General features: G+C 37.9%; 1 protein-coding gene across 14 annotated transcripts in view; it reads left to right on the forward strand.

Annotated features, from left to right (window-relative positions):
- MON2 (MON2 regulator of endosome-to-Golgi trafficking) overlaps positions 1–26,110 on the forward strand; it is a 133,651-nt gene that overhangs the window by 36,703 nt on the left and 70,838 nt on the right. For all 14 annotated transcript variants that reach the window (XM_017019045.2, XM_047428542.1, XM_017019043.2 and 11 more), the window contains 4 exons: positions 4,758–4,952; positions 20,987–21,111; positions 21,556–21,692; positions 22,421–22,574. In XM_017019045.2, the coding sequence (XP_016874534.1) occupies positions 4,758–4,952; positions 20,987–21,111; positions 21,556–21,692; positions 22,421–22,574 (611 nt within the window). The remainder of the gene's footprint in view (positions 1–4,757; positions 4,953–20,986; positions 21,112–21,555; positions 21,693–22,420; positions 22,575–26,110) is intronic.

Below are 26,110 nucleotides of genomic sequence, written 5' to 3' on the forward strand. Positions count from 1 at the left end.
TAAAAAGTCGAATCTTTTTAGTCTCTTGTAAATTGGTTCAGTTGATATCCTCCTTATCAGACTAAAAGATGAAGTGTCCTTATGCTCTGTGGAACTTTTCATGGTTTAGTCCCCAGTATTCCTTGATCTTGTTTCTTTCCTCTCTTCTCTTTGCCCTCACCCTTTGGCCACACTGTCCTTCTTGTTGTTTGTGAAGTGCCTCAAGCAGACTCGTGCCCCAGGGCCTTTGTACTTACTATTCCTGGGCCTGGAATCCTTTTTTCCTCATATGGCTTGCTGTCTTACTTTTTTGAGGGCTTTGCTCAATCGTCAACTTACCAGACACATCTTCCCCAACCACGTTGTGTAAAATGGCAACCTTTTTTCCTATCAGCACCATTATCTTTCTTATCTCTCTTTTTCTTTGTAGCACTTATCACCTCCTGCCTGACACACACACACACGTATATGTGTATTATATATTATTACATATTGTGTATTATTTTATTTTCTCTCTTTCCCTACAAGAAGATAAACTCTATGAGGCAGGGATTTAGTACACTGTTGTATAGGTGTCTTTAGTAATAGTGCCTGGCATATGGCAGGTGTTTGATAAATATTTGAATGAATGAATTGGTTAATGAATTTGAATTTAAAATTTTTATGTTTGGGTCATGTTTTCTGACTTCATAGGAAAAGATTTGAAACCGTTTTTACAGATTTTTTTCTTTTCTTTTCTTTTTTTTTTTTTTTTTGAGACAGCATCTTGCTCTGTCGCCCAGGTTGGAGTGCAGTCGCATGATCTCGGCTCACTGCAAGCTCCGCCTCCCATGTTCACGCCATTCTCCTGCCTCAGCCTCCCGAGTAGTTGGGACCACAGGTGCCCGCCACCACGCCCGGCTAATTTTTTGTATTTTTTTTAGTAGAGATGGGGTTTCACCGTGTTGGCCAGGATGGTCTCGATCTCCTGACCTCGTGATCTGCCCACCTCAGCCTCCCAAAGTGCTGAGATTACAGGCGTGGGCCACCGCACCCGGCCTGTTTTTATGGATTTATTATACTTAGAAAATTTACTTTATTCTTCCTGCTGTAAAGCATGGAAGGGGAAGAATTCTCTGTGTAAGATCCTAGAATTTCATCCTGTACAATTTTCTTCCAGAGATACGTATTTGTTTCTTTTTTTAACTCATCATTCACATATGCAATCAAAATTTACCAGTCACTTAAGTTTTATGCCAAGTATACAGAAGTTAAATAAGACTGATAAAATCTTTGCCCTGTGGCACTTACAATTCTAATGGGGAGACAGATTTTAACTGAGTTGATAAGGCTTGATGAGTACTGTGAAGGAAAAGTATTAAAAGTGTTAGGAAATGAATAACGGGACCAGACCTGGTGGAGAGTTGGTGATAAATCAAGGATAGGATACTTAAGCTTGTAAATGAAGGATTAAGAGTAGTTAGGAGATATAGAGAGAACAGGAAAAGAATACTCCACACAGAAGGAATTTGAAGAGCAGTGACCCTGAGAAAGGATGTCTTCTTTTCTAGAAAAATAAGCTTTAAGGGCATTGAAGCTTTGCCTTTTGCCTCAATGAAGTGTTGTAGTGGAAGATGAAAAAGGCAGTCTCAAAGATGATTTCTAGCTTTCTGGCTTGAACAGTGAACCATTTGCTAAGATGGAGTACTCCATGGGCAGAATTTTTATCACAAAGGACACATTATTCATATATATACTAATTTCAAGGTATCTGTGAGACATGCAAAATGTTAGTTGGACTTATGCATTTCAAGGTTTGGGGCTGAAATTATAAATTTAAATGTTCCTGGCATATAGTTGCTAATTGAAGATATGGGAGTGAATGAGATTTTCTGTGGTAAGAACCTAGAGTACAAAGCAAGGGCATGGTACTCTGGAACTCTGAGGAAGCTCAACATTAAACAGTTGAAGATGAGCATATACAAGAGACTGAGAACACAAGGCCAGAAGGCAGGAACAAATCTAAGAGAGTGTGACATAATAAAAGGCAAAAGCAAAGAAAGTTTCAAGATGAAGCAAGTAATCAGTTATATCAGGTGGTTCACAGAGATCTGGTAGGCGCAGTGGCTCACACCTGTAATCTTAGCTCTTTGTGGGGCTGAGGCAGTCAGATGGCCTGAGCTCAGGAGTTCAAGACCAGCCTGGGCAACATAGTGAGACCTTGTCTCTACGAAAAATTAAAAAAAAAAAAAATCAGCTGGGCCTGGTGGCACATGCCTGTAGTCTCAGCTACTTGGGAGGCTGAGAGGTGGGAGGATCGTTTGACCCCAGGAGGTCAAGGCTGCAGTGAGCCATGATCATACCACTGCACTCCAGCCCGGGTGACAGAGCAAGACCCTATTTCAAAAACAGAAAAAAACAAAACAAAAACAAAGAGATCTGATAAGATGAAAACTGGAAAGACTGGAAAATGTTTGCTTTGGCCACAGAGATCATGATGAGTATAATGAGAAGTGGAGAAGTAGAGTTGGGATGGTTGGTGATAGTGCTGGAGGAAACCCAACTGTAGTGAGTTGAGCAGTGAGAGGGAAACAGTGAATTGGTAAAACTTTTAAGAATTGCTTAAGAATTGCCGGTATGTTTATATATTTTAACCAATATACAAAATAATTATTTTTGTAAAATATGAAAGTGGACTTTACTTTTCATTTTGGCAGTCAGATAAACTAACTGTAGATGTGAGAGTATAATTTCAAATCACTTATCTCTTAAGATCTCATTTTGGAGGAAAGAATGAAAAAGTATATTAAAATATTTATAAAAGTCTGGAAGAGTATACATGCAGAAGTAACAATGACTAGTCCACTTATCTCCAGGAGGTGAGATTAGGCAAGACTTTTATTTTTATCTTTTTATTTATCTGTGTTTTTGGATTTTCTTTCTTGAGAATCTGATTTTTTAAAACATACGTTTAGTGGCTTATGCCTGTAATCACAGCGCTTTGGGAGGAGGCTGAGGCAGGCAGATCACCTGAGGTCAGGAGAGCCTGCCCAACATGGTGAAACCCCGTCTCTACTAAAAATACAAAAATTAGCCAGGTGTGGTGGCAGATGTCTGTAATCTCAGCTACTTGGGAGGCTGAGGCAGGAGAATTGCTTGAACCTGGGAGGTGGAGGTTGCAGTGAGCCGAGATTGTACCATTGCACTCCAGCCTGGGTAACAGAGTGAAACTCCATCTCAAAAAAAAAAAAAGATACATTTAAAAAATTTTGTGATTCTGAGCAAACAACCTGCTCTGTGCCTTATTTTCCTTCTCTGTAAGATGAAAGGATTAGGTCAAATGATTTTTGTGATATTTTCTTTGTTTATAGCTTCAGTGAAATTTGGATGACAACAACAAAATGTATTTGAGGCTAGTCATTAAATACAGCCTAGGCCTTATATTGTCAGTGAAATGGGATTACTCTTGGCTAATATAGGCAGGGAATTAACAGGTTAAGGAGTGCTTTCTTTATGATATACCATGGCTATAAGTAAAATTTAAGAATTATTTGCAAGATTCCCTGACTTGTAAAATAATTATGCTTGTTTGCCATTGCATGTTTTATCAGCTCATCATGTTCTGTTCAAGCAGTCCAAGCAGAACAAAATTTTAAGTTAATTATTAAATCTTCTGCATGAATGGAATTGTTCTTTGAAAAATGAAATCAGTGAATTATATAACTTATACTCTCTTAGGAAATTTTCTCTCCTCAGCTACCTATTTTAAACTATTTGCTTGAGTTTGTATAGCTTGTTTTCTTTTCTTTCTTTTTTCTTTTTCTTTTTCTTTTTTTTTTTTCTGTGTGAGATAGGGTCTTGCTCCATTGCCCAGATTGGAGTACAGTGGTGTGATCATGGCTCACTGCAGCCTCAACCTCCCTGGGCTCAAGTGATCCTCCCACTTTAGTCACCCAAGTAGCTGGGACCGCAGGAGGCACCACTATATCCAGCTAATTTTTGTTGTTGTTGTTGTTGAGACAGGGTCTCCCTGTGTTGCTCAGGCTGGTCTTGAACTCCTGGATGCCAGCAATCCTCCCATCTCAGCCTCCCAAAGTGCTAAGATTCCAGGCCTGAGCCACCATGCCTGGCTGTATTTTCTTTCTTCTGTTTATGTTTTTAATTACCAGTGTCCAGCTAAAATTGAAGTTTCTGTTAATCACCAATTACTTACTTCTAAAATCATTAAATGTTCCTTTTAAACTTATATTCTTTCAAAAACTTCTTGTAATACTGATTATGATTATGATTATGATTATTTGAGACAGCATCTTGCTCTGTTACCCAGACTGGAGGGCAGTGGCATGATCACGGCTAACTGCAGCCTTGACCTCCTGGGTTCAAGTGTTCCTTCCACCTCAGCCTCCCAAATTGCTGGGACTACTGGTGCGTGCCACCATACCTGGCTAATTTTTTAATTTTTTTTGTAGAGATGGAGTCTCACTGTTTTGCCAAGGCTCATCTTGAACTCCTGGGCTCAAGCTATCCTCCCACCTTGGGCTCCCAAAATGCTAAGATTACAGGCATGAGCCACTATGCTGGGCTCTGATGACTGTTCTGACCTTAGACTCTCTAAGTGCAATACGAATTTCAAAATTGTGCGTAAACTATAAAATAATAAAACATATAAACTTATAGTAAAGCTAAATTATTAATACTGGTTATTAAGAAGTTTTGTTTCCTAGTGAGACTGTGTTTTTGGAAGTATTAAGTACAAATAAAGTTAATTATTTTTTTCTTTCTTTTTTCCTTGCAAATAGCACCAAGAATTTAGTTTCCTCCTCAAAGAAAGGGTATGTCCTCTTGTGATAAAGCTCTTTTCTCCAAATATAAAGTTCAGACAAGGTTCCAGCACCTCATCTTCTCCAGCACCAGTTGAAAAACCATATTTTCCTATCTGCATGCGTTTGCTGAGAGTAGTATCTGTTCTGATTAAGCAGTTTTACAGTCTTTTGGTAAGTGCTAATTTCCTTATGTATTTGTGTATATAGTTGCATGTTGTGCCCTTTGTAAAAAGTGGTCTGTTGTAGCGCATTTAGTTTTTTCAATTCAGTTCAACAGAATTTTTTTGAGTACCTACGTGTAGTCTAGGTACTCTAAAGGTTTGTTCTATCCTTTCTTGAATCTTGCTTATGTTTATAGAGTATTCATAATGTGTGAAGCAGAGTCATTGCCTGTTGTCTGAAGCCAGCATAGGAATTGTCGTTTTGGAACTCAGCTTCTTAGCTAATTGTCTGTATCTCATTTGAAGGATTATTAAAATTATAGTCTCTTCAGTTTATTCTGCTTTCATTTATACTGTTTCATATGTCTTAACAGATTAAAGCAAAGACATTAAAGATTTGGTCAAATCTAAGATTAGAAACCAATTATTTTGACTTACAGTCCAATATTGTATCTGTTTTGCATAAGTTAATGGATGCCTATTATGTTGTGATATTCCGGATGATAATTCTATTTATGTAATGCTTTAGTCGTAAACATTCAAATACTGTTTCTCAGAAAAAATAATGCACCGTGTTTTTTTAAAATTCTGTGTTAGGTCAAATTCAGCATTCTGTAATTTTTTCACATTTATATTCTTCTTCTTCTTTTTTTTTTTTTTTTGAGATGGAGTCTCACTCTGTCACCCAGGCTGGAGTGTAGTGGCACAATCTCGGCTCACTGCAACCTCCACCTCCTGGGTTCAAGCAGTTCTCCTGTTTCAGCCTCCCGAGTAGCTGGGACTACAGGCACCCACCGCCACACCTGGCTAATTTTTGTATTTTTAGTAGAGATGGGGCTTCACCCTATTGGTCAGGCTGGTCTTGAACTCCTGACCTCAGGTGATCCACCCGCCTCAACCTCCCAAAGTGCTGGGATTACAGGCGTCAGCCACCATGCCTGGCCCTATATTCTAAAAACAGACAATATAATAATAGTAGAAGACTTCAATATTCTACTTCCAATAAAGGTAGAACAACCAGACATAAGACTAATAAGGAAACAAAGGACTCGAACAACACTGTAGAACAGTTGGACCTAACAGACATATACAGAACACTCCACCTAACATCAGCAGAATACACATTCTTTTCAAGTGCACATAGATTATGCTCAAGGATAGAGCTTATGTTAAGCCATAAAACAAGTCTCAACAAATTTAAGAAGATTGTAATCATACCAGGTATCTTCTGTGACCAAAATGGAATCCAGCCAGAAATCAATAGTGGAAGGAAAATGAGAAGAGTCTCAAATGTATGGAAATTAAACAACATACTAGTTAGGAGAAGGAAGGAAATAATAAAGAATACCACATAAATAAACAAAATGGAGAATAGAAAAGCAATAGAGAGAATCAATGCAAGTTGTTTTTTTTTTGAAAAGATTAAGAAAATTAACAAACCGTTATCCAGACTAAAAAGAGAAAATACTCAAATAACTAAAATCAGAAATGAAGGAGGAGACATTACAACTGATGCCACAGAAATAAGAAATTTAAAGGATCATAAAAGACTACTAGGAAGAATTATGTGCCAACAAATTGGATAACCTAGAAGAAATGAATAAATTCCTTGAAACATACAACCTACTGAAACTGAATCACAAGAAAAAAATTAAACAGACCTATAACTAGTATGGAGATTGAATTAATAATGAAAAACCTTCCAACAAAGAAAAGTGCAAGAACAGATGACTTCACTGGAAAAGTCTACCAAACATTGAAAGAACAATTAACAAACTCCAAAGAATTGAAGAGGAGAGAAAACTTCCAAGCTCATTTTATGAGGCCAGCGTTAATACCAAAGCCAGACAAAAATACTACAAGGAAAAAAAAACAGATCAAGCTCCCTGATAAATATTGATTAAAAAAATTCTCAAGAAAGTACAAGGAAACTTAATTCAACAGCATTTTAAAAGGATTCCACGCCATGACCAAGTGGGATCTATCCCTGGAATGTAAGGACGTTTCAACATACAAGAATCAGTTAATATAATACACTACATTAAAAGAATGAAGGTTAAAAACTACATGATCATTTCAATTGATGCAGAAAAAGTATTTGGCAAAATTCATCATCCTTTCATGATAAAAACACTCAACAAACTAGGAATAGAACTAAACTACCTTAACCCAATAAATGCCATTTATGAAGAGACAATAACTAATAACTAATATCACACTTGATAGTGAAAACCTGAAAGCTTTCCCTCTAAGATCAGGAACAAGGCAAGATTGCCTACTCTTGCCACTTCTATTCAACATGGTACTGGAACTCCTAGCCAGAGTAACTAGGAATGAAAAAGAAATAAAAGGCATCCACATTGGAAAGGAAGAAGTAACATTATCTCTGTTTGCTAATGTATGTTTTATCTAGAAAACCCTAAATATTCCACACCAGAAAAACTGTTAGAACTAATAAACATAGCAAAGTTGCAAATATGTCTCTATACACTAACAGTGAACAATTCCAGAAAGAAATTAAGAAAACAATTTCATTTGCAAAGTACCAAAAAGAATAAAAATACTTAGGCATAAACTTAACCAAGAAGGTGAAAGACCTATGCACTGGAAACTATAAAACATTATTGAAAGAAATTTAAGACACAAAGAAATGGAAAGATATCCAGTGTTCATGATTAAAAGACTTAAAATTGTTAAAATGTCCATATAATCTAAAGAGATCTATGAATTAAATGCAGTTCCTATCAAAATTCCAACAGCAATTTTTGCAGAAGTAGAAGAAACCATCTTAAAATTCATATTGAATCTCAAGGGACCCCAAATTGCCAAAACTATCTTGAGAAAAAAGAACGAAGTTGGAAGTCTCACACTCCCTGATTTCAAAACATATTACAAAGCTACAGTAATCAGAATAGCATAAAGTGGTACTGGCATAAAGACACACACAAAAACCCATGGAACAGAATGGAGAGCCCAAAAATAAACTCTCATATATATGGTCAAGTGATCTTTGAAAAGGGTGCCAAGACCAGTCAGTGGAGAAAGGATAGTCTCTTTAACCATTATGCTGGGAAAACCGGATATTCACATGCAAAAGAATGAGGTTAGACCCTTACCTTATGCCATGTACAAAAAATAATTCAAAATGGATTCATGACCTAAACACAAGATTTAAAACTAAAAAATTCCTAAAAGAAAACATAGGGGAAAATCTTTATGACATTGGATTTCACAGTGATTTCCTGACTGTGATACTAAAAGCACAGGCAACAAAAGCAACAATAGACAAATGGAACTGCATCAAACTTAAAATCTTCTACACCTCAAAGAAAGAAGCCAGCAGAGTTGTATTAGTTTTTACACTGCTGATAAAGACATACCCGAGACTGGGCAATTTACAAAAGAAAGAGATTTATTGGACTTACAGTTCCATGTGGCTGGGGAGGCCTCACAATCATGGCTGAAGGTGAAAGGCACATCTCACATGGCGGCAGACAAGAGAAGAGCGCTTATGCAGGGAAACCCCCCTTTTAAAACCACCAGATCTTGTGAGACTTACTATCATGAGAACAGCATGGGAAAGACCTGCCTCCCATGATTCATTACCTCCCACCAGGTCCCTCCCACAACACGTAGGAATTCAAGATGAGATTTGGGTGGGGACACAACCAAACCATATCATTCCGCCCCTGGCCTCCCAAGTCTCATAGGTCCTCATATTTCAAAACCAATCATGCCTTCCCAACAGTCCCCAAAGTCTTAACTCATTTCAGCATTAACTCAGAAGTCCACAGTCCAAAGGCTCAACTGAGACAAGGCAAGTCTCTTCTGCCTATGAGCCTGTAAAATCAAAACGAGTTAATTACTTCCTAGATACAATGGGGGTACAAGCATTGGGTAAATACAGCCATTCTAAATGGGAGAAACTTGCCAAAACAAAGGGGCTACAGGCCCCATGCAAGTCCGAAATTCAGCAGGGCGGTCAAATCTTAAAGCTCCAAAATGACCTCCTTTGACTCCATGTCTGACATCCAGATCACACCGATGCAAGAGGAGGGTTCCCATGGTCTTGGGCAGCTCCACTCCTGTGGCTTTGCAGGATACAGCCTCCCTTCCAGGTGCTTTCATGGCCTGCTGTTGAGTGTCTGTGGGTCTTCCAGGTGCATGGTGCAAGCTGTTGGTGAATCTGTCATTCTGGTGTCTGGACGGTGGCCCTCTTCTCACAGCTCCACTAGGCGGTGCTCCAGTAGGGACTCTGTGTGGGGGCTCTGACCTCACATTTCCCTTCTGTATTGCCCTAGCAGAGGTTCTCCATGAAGACCCTGCTCCTACAGCAAACTTCTGCCTGGGCATCCAGATGTTTCCATACATCTTCTGAAATCTAGGCAGAGGTTTCCAAACCTCAATTCTTGACTTCTCTGCACTCGCAGGCTCAACACCATGTGGAAGCTGCCAAGGCTTGATGCTTGCACCCTCTGAAGCTACGGCCCGAGCTCTATGTTGACCCCTTTCAGTCGGCTGGAGTGGCTGGGATGCAGGGGACCAAGCACACAGCACAGGGACCTTGGGCCCAGCCCACAAAACCACGTTTTCCTCATAGGCCTCTGGATCTGTGATGGGAGGGGCTGCCTCAAAGATCTCTGACATGCCCTGGAGACATTTTCCCCATTGTCTTGGTGATTAACATTCAGCTCCTTGTTACTTATGCAAATCTCTACAGCCAGCTTGAAATTCTCCTCAGAAAATGGGATTTTCTTTTCTTTTTGCGGGGGAGGGATGGAGTCTTGCTCTGTATCCCAGGCTGGAGTGCAGTGGCCCCATCTTGGCTCACTGCAACCTCCGCCTCCTGGGTTCAAGTGATTCTCCTGCCTCAGCCTCCTGAGTAGCTAGGATTGCAGGTGTGAGCCCCCACACCCGGCTAATTTTTGTATTTTTAGTAGAGACCGGGTTTCGCCATGTTGGCCAGGCTGGTCTTGAACTCCTGACCTCAAGCAACCCACCCGCCTCGGCCTCCCAAAGTGCTGGGATTATAGGCATGAGCCACTGCGCCCGGCCTGGGATTTTCTTTTCTATTGCATTGTCAGGCTGCAAATTTTCCAAGCTTTTATGCTCTGTTTCCCTTTTAAAACTGAATGTCTTTAAGAGCACCCAAGTCACCTCTTGAATGCTTTGCTGCTTAGAAATGACTTCTGCCGGCTGAGTGTGGTGGCTCACGCCTGTAATCCCAGCACTTTGGGAGGCTGAGGCAGGCGGGTCATGAGGTCAGGAGATCGAGACCATCGTGGCTAACATGGTGAAACCCCATCTCTACTAAAAAATACAAAAAAAAACTAGCCGAGCGTGGTGGCAGGCACTTGTAGTCCCAGCTACTGGGGAGGCTGAGGCAGGAGAATGGCATGAACCCAGGAGGCAGAGCTTGCAATGAGCCGAGATCGCTCCACTGCACTCCAGCCTGGGTGACAGAGCGAGACTCCATCTCAAAAAAAAAAAGAAAGAAAGAAAGAAAGAAATGCCTTCTGCCAGTTACCCTAAATCATTTCTCCCAAGTTCAAAGTTCCACAAATCTCTAGGGCAGGGGCAAAACGCTGCCAGTCCCTTTGCTAAAACATAACAAGAGTCACCTTTACTCCAGTTCCCAACAAGTTCCTCATCTCCATCTGAGACCATCTCATCCTGGATTTCATTTTCCATGTCCTTATCAGCATTTTGGTCAAAGCCATTCAAGTCTCTAGGAAGTTCCAAACTTTCCCACATTTTCGTGTCTTCTTCTGAGCCCTCCAAACTGTTCCAACATCTGCCTGTTACCCAGTTCCGAAGTCACTTCCACATTTTTAGGTATCTTTTCCACAGCACCCCACTCCTGGTTCCAATTTACTGTAGTAGTCCATTTTCACACTGCTGATAAAGGCATACCCAAGACTGGGCAATTTACAAAATAAAGAAGATTAGTGGACTTACAGTTCCACATGGCTGGCGAGGCCTCACAATCTTGGAGGAAGGTGAAAGGCACATCACAAATGGTGGTAGACACAAGAAGAGAGCTTTTGCAGAGAAACTCCCTTTTTAAAACCATCAGATCTCATGAGATTTATTCACTATCATGATAACAGCATGAGAAAGACCTGTCCCCATGATTCAATTACCTCCCACTGGGTCCCTCCCAGAACACGTGGGAATTAAAGATGAGATTTGGTTGGGGACACAGCCCCAAACCATATCCAGAGTGAAAAGGCAACACTTGGGAGAAAAGATTCACAAATTACATACCTGAAAAGGGTTAATATTCAAAATATATAAAGAACTCCTACAACTCAACAACAACAAAAAACTAATGTTAAAAAATAGGCACAGGACATGAATAGATATTTCTCCAAAGAAGATATACCAATGTCCAACAAGCATATGAAAAGATGCTCAACATCTCCAATCATTAGAGAAATGCAGAGCAAAACTGTAATGAGGCTTATGCCCATGAGTGGTCACTGTTAAAAACACAACAGAACACCAGAAAATAACAAGTGTTGGCAAGGATGTGGAGAAAATTGGAACCCTTGTGCACTGTTGGTGGGAATATAAAATGGTGCAGCCTCAATGGAAAGCAGTATGGAGGTTCCTCAAAAACCTGAAAATAGAATTACCATATGACCCAGCAATACTACTTATGCATATAAATTCAAAAGAATTGAAAGTGTGATTTGAAAGAAATGCTTGTACACCCATGTTCATTGTCGCATTTTTGTAATAGCCAAGAGGTGAAAGCAGTTCCAGTGTTCATTGTCAGATGAACAAACCAAGAAAATACAGTGTATACATATGTTGGAATATCATTCAGCCTTAAAGAAGGAAATCCTGTTACTGGAACTTTGAGGACATTATGCTGAGTGAAATAAGTGAGTCAAGAGGACAAATTACTGTGTAATTCCACTTATGCGTGGTACCTTGAGTAGTCAAATTCATAGAGAAAATGGAATGGTCGTTGCCAAGGACCAGGAGGACAAAGGGATAAGGAGTTAGTGTTAAGTGGGTATAGCATTTCAGTTTTGCAAGATAAAAAAGTTCTAGAGCCCAGGTGCAGTGGTGCATGCCTGTAATCCCAGCACTTTGTAAGGCCAAGGTGGATGGATCACCTGAGCTCAGGAGTTTGAGACCTTGGCCAACATGGTGAAACCCCGTCTCTACTAAAAATACAAAAAAATTAGCTGGGTGTGGTGGCGCACACCTGTAATTCCAACTACTTGATAGGCTGAGGCAGGAGAATTGCTTGAATCTGGGAGGCAGACGTTGCAGTGAACCGAGATCACACAATTGCACTCCAGCCTGGGTGACAAGAGCAAGACTCCGTCTCAGGAAAAAAAAAAAAGTTCTAGAGAGTTTTTTACACAACGATGTGAAACAGTTGATACTACTCAACTGTACACGTAAATATTGTTGGGGTTTTATATTGTATGGTTTTACCACAATTAAATATTTTTTAATATTGAAAAGATTCCTGCACTCCCATGTTTATTGCAGCACTATTCATGATTGCCAAGATTTAGTAGCAACCAAAGTATCCATTGACAGATGAATGGATAGAGAAAAGTTAGTACATATAGACAATGGAGTACTATTCAACCATAAAAAGAAAAGTGAGATCCTGTCATTTGCAACAATATGGATGGAACTGCAGGACATTATGTTAAGTGAAATTAGCCAGGCACAGAAAGACAAACTTCACATGTTCTCACTCGTTTGTAAGAGCTAAAAGTTAAAACAATTGAACGAATGGAGAGAGAGAATAGAATGATGGTTACCAGCAGCTGGGAAGGGTGGTGGAGATGGGGAGCAGGGGGAAAGTAGGGATGGTTAATGGGTACAAAAATATGGGTAGATAGAATGAATAAGATCTAGTATTTGATAGCACAACAGGGTGATTAGTCAACAATAATGTACATTCAAAAATAACTAAAAGAGGCCAGGCGCCATGGCTCACGCTTGTAGTCCCAGCACTTTGGGAGGCCAAGGCGGCCAGATCACATGAGGTCGGGAGTTCAAGACCAGCCTGACCAACATGGAGAAACACTGTCTCTACTAAAAATACAAAATTATTCTGGCATAGTGGTGTATGCCTGTAATCCCAGCTACTCGGGAGGCTGAGGCAGGAGAATCGCTTGAACCCAGGAGGCGGAGGTTGCGGCGAGCCAAGATTGTGCGATTGCACTCCAGGCTGGGCAACAAGAGCAAAACTCCATCTCTAAATAAATAAATAAATAAATAAGTATAATTGGAATGTTTTAGCACAAAGAAATGATAAATGCTTGAGGTGATGTGTAGCCCATTTCCCCTGATGTGATGATTATGCATTATATGCCTGTATCAGAATATTTCATTTACTCTATAAATGTTACATACCTACTATATACTCATAAAAATTAAAAAAAAATATTTTTAAGTAAACAAAATAGTGGAAATGAAAATAATTACAATATAGTAATATCAGTCACCATGGAAAGTCAACAGGATAGGAGGGATTTTTAAAAAGGAGAAGAACTTTAAGGGCCAATGTAGTTGCCATAGTTGCTATTAAATCAGGTGGCCAGGTCATATGGTGGTCCAAATGTTTAGAAAGTTTTTGTTCCTGTCACTAGGCCAACTAAATACCACTTCCTCACTTGTTCCCTAAATATTAGCAGGGCTGTCTTAGAAGGGTTCCTCCTCCTCCTTTCTTTAGAATGTTTCTTAACTACATTAAGTTAAGACTATAGGAAGAGAAAACAGTTCCCCTTTTCCTTTTCATATCCACTAGTCAGTCCTGGAAAAACAAGTATTCTGTTCTCCTCAGTAATGCAGCCTAGTTACATCTTCATAGTAACAAATGCAAAATTCACATTTTGTTTCTGTTGCTAACCAGGACCTCCCAACTTATTTATCATCATCATCTTTTTTTTAAAATAAAATTTGATGCTATGGGTTGAACTATATCCCCCAAAATTAATATATTGAAGCCCCAGTCCCCAACATGACAGTATTTGGATATGTGGCCTTTGGGAGATAATTAGGCTTAGATGAAGGCATGAGGGTGGGACTCTCATGATGGGATTAGTTCCCTCATAGAAAGACACCAGAGCATGCTTGCTCTCTCACTTTCTTGCCCTCCACCATGTGAAGACAAAGGAAGAAAGCATCCATTTGCAAGCTCAGAACAGGGCCCTCAGCAGAACCTGAACACGCTAACATCTCTATCTCATATTTCCAGCCTCCAGAATTGTAACAAATAAATTTCTGTCATTTAAGCCACCCAGTCTCTGGTTATCTTGTTATGACAGACTAAAGATACTTGGGCCAAGCTGAGATACTTGGTTTCTGTCTATCAATTCTGTTATTTAACAATTTATCTAATAACCTTTTCAGAGATACAGATATCTTAATTCCTCAGTAATTTCCATTTTGGATGAAATTGTTTTATTGATTTCATCTGTTCTGGACACTGTACAAAGTAATTGTCTTAGTTCGGGCTGTTATATAAAATATGCCAGAAACTGTGTAGCTTAAATCTCAAAGTTCTGGAGCCTCAGAAGTCTAAGATCAAGCTACTAGCATATCTGGTGTCTGGTAAGGGTGTACTTCCTGGTTTGCAGATGTCTGTCTTCTCATTTTATTCTTAAATGGTGGAGAGTAGAGACAGGAAGAAGCCTCTCAAGTATCTTCTTATAAGGGCACAATCCCATTCATGAGGGTTTCAGCCTTATAACCTAATTTCCTCCGAAAGACTCCACCTTCAAATATCATCCCACTGGGGAATAGGCTTCAACACATGAATTTTGGGGGTGTATAAACATTTAGACCATAGCATTGCTTTGCATACATTAATACATTTTAACTTTACTACAGCCCTATGAAGCAGACATTCATATTTGAGTTTTATAGCTGAGAAAATGAGGACCAGGATGCTTATATAGTTTGCCTGAGATGATGCAGTTTATAAGCTGCAACACTGGGGTGTTAACTAATTTTTTAGGCTCCATAACACACTTTTAACCCCACTACACTTTACTACTTCGCTGTTTTCTTAGTTCTCGCTCTCTTTTTTTTTCTTTCTCCAAGGCTGACAGTGCCAAGTTTCTTGTATTGCTTCTATAACATTCTCCATATTTTGACCTTTGTCCCTTTAATTGGTGGGGGTGTAGGGGGACAACGTGGGACAAATGACAGCACAGCCAGCAACAGAAAAAAATGGAAAGTTACTGCCTAAAGGAAGAGGAAGGCCTGTTTTCCTGCTTTACTTGTGAACTGTGGGTGATGATCAACTGGTAAAACATTGGTTCCTAATAAGGAACTCTAGGACTGAGTTGGCAAAGTTGAGATTTTCAGATATATATAAGAAAGTAATTCCTCAGTATTGTAATTGGCTACATTGGGACATCTTAGCTTAGAAAAAATTAGGCATTCTACAGTTTCTTCAAGGGCAAAAGTTAGATGCCTGGTAGTTGGGGGGCAAGCTATATATGGTTGATGTGTGATGCCTCTCTCTTATTTCTCTGTATTTTCTTTATTTAAACCTGGAAATGGTACATCTCCTAGAAGACATACTAGAGGAATAATTCTTATACTTTTTAGTCTCAAGACTGCTTTATACTCTTTTATTACTTTTTTTGCAACAGGAAGTGGTCATTTAATAAATAACCATGTGGAAGAGGGGGTGCTACCATTCAAAACACCCCGACGGGTCACAGAATGTTCCAGAGCAGAAAGGCACTGGGGACGCCCTGGCTGTCTGCCACCTCTAGCAGCACACCACCGTTCCAATCATTCAGCCCTTTGTGTCCCTACTAGTCCCTGAAATCGCCTCAGCTGAGTGATACTGGGGGTGGGTGGTGAGAGGGGAATGCTGGGAGGGAGTGACACTTGGGGATCCAAGACAGAGGTATCAGGACCCAAAATAAATAAATCATGTTGAATGCCCTATGAAAACAGTGACCCCTTTATATTCTTAAAAAATATTTAGGAGCTTTTGTGCATGTGAGTTATTTCTATCATTATTTACTTTATTAAGAATTAAAGCTGAAATGATACTAAACCTATTACATGTTAACATAAATTTTTATGAAAAATAATTATGTTTTAAAGAAAAAATTATTTTACGTTTTCCAAATGTAAATGTCTTGAATGTCTGGCTTAATAGGAGACAGCTGGATTCTCATATCTTTTGTCTTCATTCTGTTGTGATTTTTTTTGGGTTGACACATAACGATGAAAATCTGGCTTCATAAAGACATGTAGTTGAAAGGCAGAATTATATTAATGGCCTTTTTAGATAATAATGGTGGATATTCTTCTTTGATACTATACCAAACGGTACACTTTCTTTTTTTGTTTGTCTTCTTGAGACGGAGTCTCGCTCTGTCACCCTGGCTGGAGTGCCGTGGCGTGATCTCGGCTCACTGTAAACTCCGCCTCCTGGATTCATGCCATTCTCCTGCCTCAGCCTCTTGAGTAGCTGGGACTACTGGCGCCTGCCACCACGCCCGGCTAATTTTTTGTATTTTCAGTAGAGACGGGGTTTCACCCCGTTAGCCAGGATGGTCTCGATCTCCTGACCTCGTGATCTGCCCGCCTCTGCCTCCCAAAGTGTTGGAATTACTGCGTGAGCCACCACACCCTGCCGACACTTTCTTACAGGTCTAGGATCTGAAACGTTTTTATACTGTGTTACAGTAAAATTCATTTCATTGGTCTTACATTTCAAATGGATCTTTTAGTCATGCATGATTTTGTAACATCATGTATTTTAGTTGTGTAGATATTCCAAATGTTATCACTTCCTGCAAATATTACATTTGTTAATATCACCACCATATATCAGAAGAGTCTTAGGTTATAGGGTAGATACAAGTTTTTTTAAATTCTGATTTTTGTTTGAAAGCTCAAATTTTATTATTGGCAACAAACACTGTCAGTTGTTTACCCTAAAGTGACAGGCGTACTTTATTTTTGAGAAACTGTTTGTACAGTATATACAAATGTAAATAATCATGATTTACTGTTTGCTTTTTCAGTGAAAATGTTATTCCACAGGGTAAAAAGACTAGCTCAGTTCACAGCTATGCTTTTCTTCCAACAATGATGGTACTTTGATACACAGTAAAAACGCTTCATGTGTACTTCCTGTTTTGTCACAAGGAACATTAAAAAGGCATGTACTTGGCCAGGCGCAGTGGCTCACGCCTGTAATCCCAGCACTTTAGGAGACCGATCACCTGAGGTCAGGAGTTTGAGACCAACCTGGCCAACCTGGTGAAACCCCATCTCTACTAAAAAATACAAAAAATTAGCCGGGTGTGGTGGCAGGCACCAAAATATCCAAAGTATATAAGATATTATATGTATAATAATATATATATATAATTATATATTATATAATATGTAAAGATATTATTTTTTTTGAGACTCCATCTCAAAAAAAAAAAGACATGTACTTATGGGTCAGATTTAACAAAATCAATCTATTTTATTTTTATTTTAGTTTTGTTTATTATGGCTCTTTTTTAAAAAAAAAATTAATCTTTTTTTTTAAAGATGGAATTTCACTCTCATTGCCCAGGTTGGAGTGCAGTGGCGCGATCTCGGCTCACTGCAACCTCTGCCTCCCAGGTTCAAGCGATTCTCCTGCCTCAGCCTCCCAAGTAGCTGGGATTACAGGTGCCTGCCACTATGCCTGGCTAATTTTAAAAATATTTTTAGTAGACACGGGGTTTCACTGTGTTGGCAAGGCTAGTTTTGAATTCCTGACCTCAAGTGATCCACCCACCTCAGCCTCCCAAAGTGGAAGGATTACAGGCATAAGCCACCTTGCCCGGCCCGTTTATTATGGTTCTTAAGTAAAACCATTTTTGTTTTTTAAAATCATACGTGGCAGTGAAGAATCCAATGACACTAGTACAGTTTGGGGTTACTGCCTTGATTTCTGCTAAGGCACCAGCCATTTGGCCCACGTGCATTGAAAATGGCAAATAATATATTATTATGAAAATAAGTCTGAAATTGCAGACCACCTGAAATGGTCTCAGGGACTCCTAAGGGGCCCAGGGACCACACTTTGGGAATGACTACCCTAGAGAATTATGTGCTTCCCAGTATTCACCAGGTTATCTCACTCTATCAGGTAGTTCAAGGGTGAAGATAATTAATCTTTAAAGGTTCTGTTAATACATCTAGAGTGACTAGAGGAAATTAGAATTTCTCACTCATTAGGTATATTAGAATTTATCACTCATTAGAATTTAGAAATTAGAATTTCTCACTCATTAGGTATATTAATAGCTACTATACTATATTATTTTCCCTTTCTGTCATCCAAGGTAGGTGCTTTTCTGCTCTCTGAATCACTTAGGATGTGTACCCACATATTCCTTAAACAAGTACCCTTAAGGAATTTATGAAACTTAATTATAAGGGGCTAGTGGCTGGGTGTGGTGGCTCACGCCTATAATCCCAGCACTTTGGAAGGCCAAGGCGGGTGGATCACTTGAGGTCAGGAGTCCGAGACCATCCTGACCAACATGGCGAAACCCCATCTCTACTAAAAATACAAAAATTAACTGGGCATGGTGGCTTGTAATCCCACCTTCTCAGGAGGCTAAGGCACAAGAATCACTTGAACCCAGGAGGTGGAGGTTGCAGTGAGCCAAGACTGAGCCACTGTACTTCAGCCTGGGCAACAGAGTGAAACTGTCTCAAAAGAGAAAAAAAAAAGAGGCTAGCATATCTCTTTTCTGCCCTTGACTTACTGTTTTTAGAAAGGAATCAATGAGGCTAAATTGCCTTGTCCAAACTAATTTTCTACTTCTTCACAGACATTTCTCTAACAAAAGATCTCATCACTACCAAATCTATTAGCTCCAAGGTTGTTAACTCGGACAAGCTCCTGACAAATAGACTCCTACATGAATGTGCTACCAGATTTTCTTCATTGTCTGCCAAGTCAACTCTTACATACAGGATTCTTTAATAGATATCTATGTGATATTGAGATTAGAATGTCTACCTCAGTAACTTTGATTCATCTTAAGCCATCAGATGTCTCTTGACGTTTAGATAATAATCTACTACCAAAGTACTACAGGAGTTCAAAAACATTCATCACCCTTCATGTTGGTATAGTGGAGTTTATGACATATCTGGGTCACAAAAATTGGATTTATACCATAAGTGCTAATCTTAATACCTGTTTCCTTATAAGTGCAGCCACTTGGGGGAAAGTCTTAACAGATTCATAGTAGGTTTTCTCCATTGAGGCCCTTGTTCAGTGTTCAGTGCTCTCAACACTAGTTCTCTGCTCAAACTTTCACACTTGACAAGAAGAAACAAAAGGAGAACAAGGTTCTAGACTTCAGGAGAGAGCCTCTCTTTTTTACCCAAATCATAAGATTTTAGTGGTTCCAGTATAAATTGATAAATAATTGGTTTGTGTTATAGTCATTGTGTCATAGAGAAAAAATGATATGCTTTCAAGGCAAGTTTTATAATGTTATTCCTTCGGCTGTAATATACTTGATGTTTCTGAGATCCTTTGTATTCTTGCCTCAAAGCTTAGCTGATGAACCTTAAATTCATTCACACACACTTATATGCCACTTATGCCACTTGTAAAGCTGATATTGCACTTGTTGAAGGGCTTACTAATATTCAAACCCTCCAGTAGATAGAGCTGTTGTCCAATGAGTCACTAGCATGGGTCTTTCTTTCTCAGTTCTTCCTCTAAAGAGGTGTCATTTTGTTTAGAAAAAATAATGCCCTATTCATTTGCATGGCACTTTGTCATGTTTAGGGGATGTTTTTATTCTTACATTTTTCTCATTTGATTTCCCAGAAAGATGTAGATATTTTCATCCTTTATTTATAAGAAAGGCAACCATGCTTGTCCTTACGCACAAGGTTGCTGGATAAAGAAGTTGAGCCACCTGACTCCTGATCTAGTTCCTTTAAACTAAGCTTTATCATGTTTAGGACAATGACAAGCCTCTGCATATACTTACCCAGTCATTAGCAGTCTAAATGATAATGTTGTTTTTAGTTATTCCTCCTACTGTGTCATTATGATTATGTCCTTTTTTTAAGCATCCAGTTAAAGATACTGAAAGGCATTAGAAAATACTAGCAGCTAAGACTTTGCACTAAAAGCCTGAGGGCTACTATATTTCCCCAAATTTCTTGTCTCACATTATGGTTCACTCATTTTGAGATACCCCAGCTAAAACATCCAATAACTTGCTGTACCTAGTAGCAAGAATCAGTTTGGCCTAATAATCACCATGTCAGCTTAATTTTTACCTCCCAGAGGTCCTGCTGTATTGTCAATTAATAAGTAACAAAAACAATCCATTTACCTTTGGATGAACGGGTTAGCTTTTGTTTGTTCATTCAGTTATCAGACATGTAATGATTAATGCCTTGGGTGTGCCTTGAACATTATTTATTTATAAAGAGCTTGCTGAGAAATGGTCTATATTAGCAACAACAGTAATGATAATTAATACTTAATTAGCAGTACAGGCCCTGTTCTAATAGTTATATACTTTACATCTGTCAACTGCTATAGGTTCCTCCTTATTTTTCTACTATAAAATTTATACTAAGCACCCTTTGGCTTGCCTCTTTGTTTCTTTAGTAGCAAAAGAAAGTATGGAAAAAACTGCTCTGAAGAGTAGAACGTGCATCCTGTCAGCAGTTTATGTGGTACATGCTGTCTGGCAGTTTTTAGAAATGGAGATGGCATGATGGTATTATCTGCTTTCTAAAGAGCAAGGATAAAGGATTAACCGTATTAGCAGATTACTAATGTTTTCAGGTATATATTTAGAGAAACACTGTGATTATTTTTACTGTTAATGTTTCCATGTATAACTACATTTCCTTTCTCTGTTTCTCCACTCCCCATTAAGAGTTTGATTTCTAATCTAAAAGATTTTATTGGTTTGTCCATAGCACTAAGTTAAGAATAAGAACACAGTCTATAATTCTTCTCTTTGATTCAAAGAAATAGTATTAAAAATCATATATTTTTAGGTAACTGAATGTGAGATATTTCTGTCACTTCTGGTGAAATTTCTGGATGCAGATAAACCACAGTGGCTACGAGCTGTTGCGGTGGAATCAATACACAGATTCTGTGTGCAGCCTCAACTATTAAGGTAAAACCTCAGCAATAGTTTGTTAAATAGATAGGTTAATGTTTATTAACCTGTAAACTAACCTATAATAGGTTAATAAACTAGTCAGAAGACTTTTGGTATTTATTCCCAATATTAGTGATTTCTAAACAAAGAAAATAGGGTATTGTATCTATAAGGACGGGTAGGGCGTGTAGATGTGGAAAAGAACTGTGAGGTAAACACATGTGGTGAGTGATAGACATCAGTCTGAATTTACTGATTTAATATAGCCAAAATAATTTTTTTAGAACTGTGACCTCTATCTGAACCTTTGTCCTAAATTGGTAAAATTACTGAGTTGTAATGAAGAATGTTTTAGTATAGTTTGGTAACTCTTATAGTAATATCACTTGCTATAAAAAGGTTTACAGTTTTTAATATATTCAAATGTTTTTCCCAAAAACCTTTTAAATTATTTTACAGGTCATTTTGTCAGTCCTATGATATGAAACAGCATTCTACCAAGGTTTTTCGTGATATTGTAAATGCACTGGGATCTTTTATACAGTCCTTGTTTCTTGTCCCCCCTACTGGAAATCCTGCAACAAGCAACCAAGCTGGTAAAAACATATTCATAATTTTGTTTCTTATATTCTGCCGTAAGTTACAGTATTGACTGTTCTGAGAGGATATTATGAAATTCTGTGACTAGAGAAATTTGGGTTACCTAAACATGTTGGTAGTAAAGAATTGCACTGAAAGAATAATCTGATCTCAATGAAGCAGTTGTGTTTCTTTTTTCCAGAATAGATTTTCTTCTCTGACATACTTTCAGTTTCTCTGATCACATAAGAACAAAAGTTTAGATGCTAATCTTCATTTTAAAAGAACCTTTATTTGATGACTCCCTTTGAAGAGTCTAGATGGTTACCACCTTAGGAAGACTTAGTCCCTCTCTTAAAGGGGTTAACATGGTCATTGGAGTTTGGGAATCTGTATGGTTTGTTGTTTCCCTTTACCTTCTTTCTCTTCCACTTTGTACTGAGTGATGGTTTTGTATACTTTATTCCCACTTCTGATAAAAAGTGGTCTAATGAAAGGCTAAACATTTATCAGCATTTTTACTTCCCCTAGCAGCTTTTATTTTAAAAAGGGAAATGGTATTTTAGGGAAATAGGAACATTCTCTGATAGACAAAGTAGTACTGATAAATTTCATTTATTTCTGCAATACCCATTCTGATAGCACAGAAATTTTTTTTAAAGATTGGCCAGGTGTTTGACTATTACTGATTTGTAGTCAAGTAGTAAATTAGTGTCTTTTCTTTTTTTCCCTTCTTCTCTAACAGGAAACAATAATTTAGGTGGCTCAGTCTCAGCACCAGCTAACTCAGGAATGGTGGGGATTGGTGGAGGTGTTACTTTGCTACCAGCATTTGAATATAGGGGAACCTGGATACCTATTCTGACAATCACAGTTCAAGGCAGTGCTAAAGCCACCTAGTAAGTAGTAGCAGCATTATTTTATAAGGAATGATGTTGTTGGGGGTGATATTTAACCTAAAATTCTTCTCTATTGTATTTTAAATTTTAGACCCACTACTTCTAAGGTATTTTAGAGCTCATTTTCTTTCGTCATATTTTGAAAATTGTATCTAGGACTGGATTTTATTTGTTTTCTTTTGTGCTGTTTGTAGACTAACAGCATTATAAAACAAAATGTGATTTCTTTACATATGGACCTATTAGCTCTCCTATACAGCTTTTTGGTTTAAGTATATGAATTAGTTTCAGACCACTTGGGCTTAGGTCTTCTAATATTAGCTGAGTTACTGTCAGCAAATTAATCTTTTTTTCTTTTTTTTAAACCTCATTTCTCTCATCTATACAATGGGAGTAGTGATATATCTAATTTTCAGAATTCTATATGTAAGAAAAGTTGTTTTAAGTGCTTATCTAATCATATTGTTAGGGTTAAACACATGAAAATTTTAGTTTTTAATTAATTAAAAAGTGTTTAATGGATTCCATATCTGTTATTTTTAAATTGTTTGTCATTAGCCATTTCAATTTAACAAATGCATACTCAATAATGTATTACTGATTTTTTCTTAAGTCTTAATGAGATACAGTACTTACAGAAATAAGGCAATCAATACTACATGGATTTAACATTGCTATAGTTACTATGAGGCAGTTATAGATATATTTTGAGTAATTGGTATGTATAATTAAAACTATCCTTGGCCAGGTACAGTGACTCATGCCTGTAATCCCAGCATTTTGGGAGGCCGATGTGGGCAGATCACTTGAGGTCAGGAGTTCGAGACCAGTCTGGCCAATGTGGTGAAACCCCATCTCTACTAAAAATACAAAAATTAGCTGGAATGGTGGTGTGCACCTGTAATCCCAGCTACTCGGGAAACTGAGGCAAGAGAATCGCTTGAACCTGGGAGGCAGAGGTTGCAGTGAGCTGAGATCATGTCACTGCACTCCAGCCTGGGTGACAGAGTGAGACTCTGTCTAAAAATAAAATAAAACTATCCTTATGACATAAATCAAGACTTAATATGAAACAGACTCAGGAAGCTGAGGCAGGAGAATCACTTTAGTTCAGGAGTTGGAGTACAGCCTGGGTAACTGTGAAACCCCATCTCTTAAAAAAAATAGAAATGAAACAGAGTCTTCGGCTAGTTAAAATCATCAGTTTCTCTGGTGTGTCAGTCTGCATTGTATCATCCTAGGTATATTTTACCTTACAGCTTTATTTTGCATAAAATTATAAAAGTATAGAGTCATAGAAGACTGAAATATTTTAAGTTCATTGTTATTTTTAGTCATTTATATTCAAATCACTTAGTATTTTATAGGCTTTGCCTTGTACAAAAGGTAATGACTCAAGTATACTAGAGAATTAAGTTGTAAAAGAATCAGATATCTAGCACTAAAGGAGACATTAATTATCTAGTTCACCTTCCCACCTCATTTTATAACCTGAACATAAACCAACACAGAAGAAAATTTTTGCCTTCATAGAGCTTACACTTTAGCGAGTGAGATAGTAAATAAATAAATACACAAGTAAATATATAATATAACCTTGGGTAGTGGTTAATTTGAAGAAAAAGCAAGTTAAGGCCATAGAGAATGACCAAGGTGAAGATGGGGACAGAAAGGGTCTCCCTGAGGAAATAATACTGAGCAGACACATAAAGGGAGGGAGTGAAGATGTGTACTTGAGGAAGGAAAAAAAAAAAAAGAAACAAGCCACAAAATAATAAATACTTGTCTGGGTTGTAGAACTCCTTTTTAAAATTTATTAGTAAAAGCCTACCAACACTGTTTATTGATACTGGATTTTAACTAGTTCTGCTACTAAATACTGTGATTTTGAGTATAGCACTTGATTTCACTTGATCTTAATTTTCTCTTCTTTAAGACAAGATTAGGACTGAATCTCTAAAGGAACATATGTGTAGATTTTTTTTTAGTGCTATACATACTGAAATTGCTTAATTCTGAAATAATAAATGGCCAGAAAATATTGGGTGTTCTTTTGTACATGGGTTAGTATGTTCACACTGGAGCTTAACTGTTGAATTGGCATCTTTTATTCAATTCATTGTGAGGTTCAATATAAAATGATTTCACTATTTTCTTTGAAGGCATATGTATACATCTTGATTGTGCATTCTGTTCTTTTATTGACTGCTTGAGTATAATTTGAAAACTTAAGTGATATATAGATAGAAGTAGTTTGGACGTAAGTATTGGTGGCATATTCTTTTATATTTATTACACTACAGATCCCTTCAAAGTTGGACTTGTGACAGTTTTTGCAATTTGACCTTAAGTTTAAAATGTTTAAACAGATACATTACATTTTATCTCAAAGTGGAATTTATGCAGTAATTCTAATAAAGTAGCACTGAAACAGTGAGTTAAGAAAGTATGTGTTTTCTTTTAGGTTTATGGTATAAATAAAAAGTATAAATTACCCTTTCTCTTAACTATTCTAGTGCTTAAAGTCTGTGCCATAGAATTGGAGAATTGGAGTTTCTGATGTTTTGGATTATTTTATGTTTTAGATACATTTTCCCAATAGATCACATATTCTTTGAGAATAGGAATTTGTCTAATGAGATGCTTAACACTGATTTATTTACGATGTGGCTCTCAAAGGCTAATTGGCCTGGGAAAGATTAAAGCCGTAAACAGATATTTATCTCCCCATTTGAGCTTAAGTTTCTTTCTGTTTTTCACTTTCCTTTTATGTTTGGGGGTACATGTGAAGGTTTGTTAAATAGGTAAACATGTGTCATGGGGATTTGTTGTATGTATTATTTCATCACCCAGATGTTAACCCCAGTACCCAATAGTTACCTTTTCTGCTCCTCTTTCTCCTCCCACCCTCCCGCCTCAAGTACACCCCAGTGTCTGGTATTTCCTTCTTTGTGTTCATAAGTTCTTACCATTTAGCCCCATTTATAAGTGAGAACGTGCAGTATTTGGTTTTCTGTTCCGGCGTTAGTTTGCTAATAGCCTCCAGCTCTAGAACTTAAATTTCATAATCAACAATGTAAACATATTTCTAATGATTACATAAATTTTTAAAAGCTCAAGAGTTGACACATTAGTGGTAGGCTTTAGTGTCAGTCAGACTTGATTTTAAAAACTTCTCATTAATAACTGTAATATTAGTCCTCAGTTTTATTTCTGTGTCTCTTAGGGTTTTTGTGAGGAGTTAAATGAGATAATACATATTAAAAAAGTAGAGTCCCAGGCTAAGAGTATTTGCTCAGTGAATGATCACTATATATAGATGTTCTTATTATGTTTTTTTTAATTTAGCATTTCTTTATTAATTACCTACCTTGATGATTCAGAAACTTTAAGATTTTGAGGTAGGACATTTTCTTAGCTTTTTTATTGTAATCTTTAGTAATTTCAATTTTACTTTTGAGATAATTCATATCTCATGAAATTCACCCATTTACAGTGTACAATTCATGGTTTCATTATATTACAAAGTTGTACAA

This window comes from Homo sapiens, chromosome 12 (genome assembly GCF_000001405.40).
Source record: "Homo sapiens chromosome 12, GRCh38.p14 Primary Assembly".
Taxonomy (NCBI): Eukaryota; Metazoa; Chordata; class Mammalia; order Primates; family Hominidae; genus Homo; species Homo sapiens.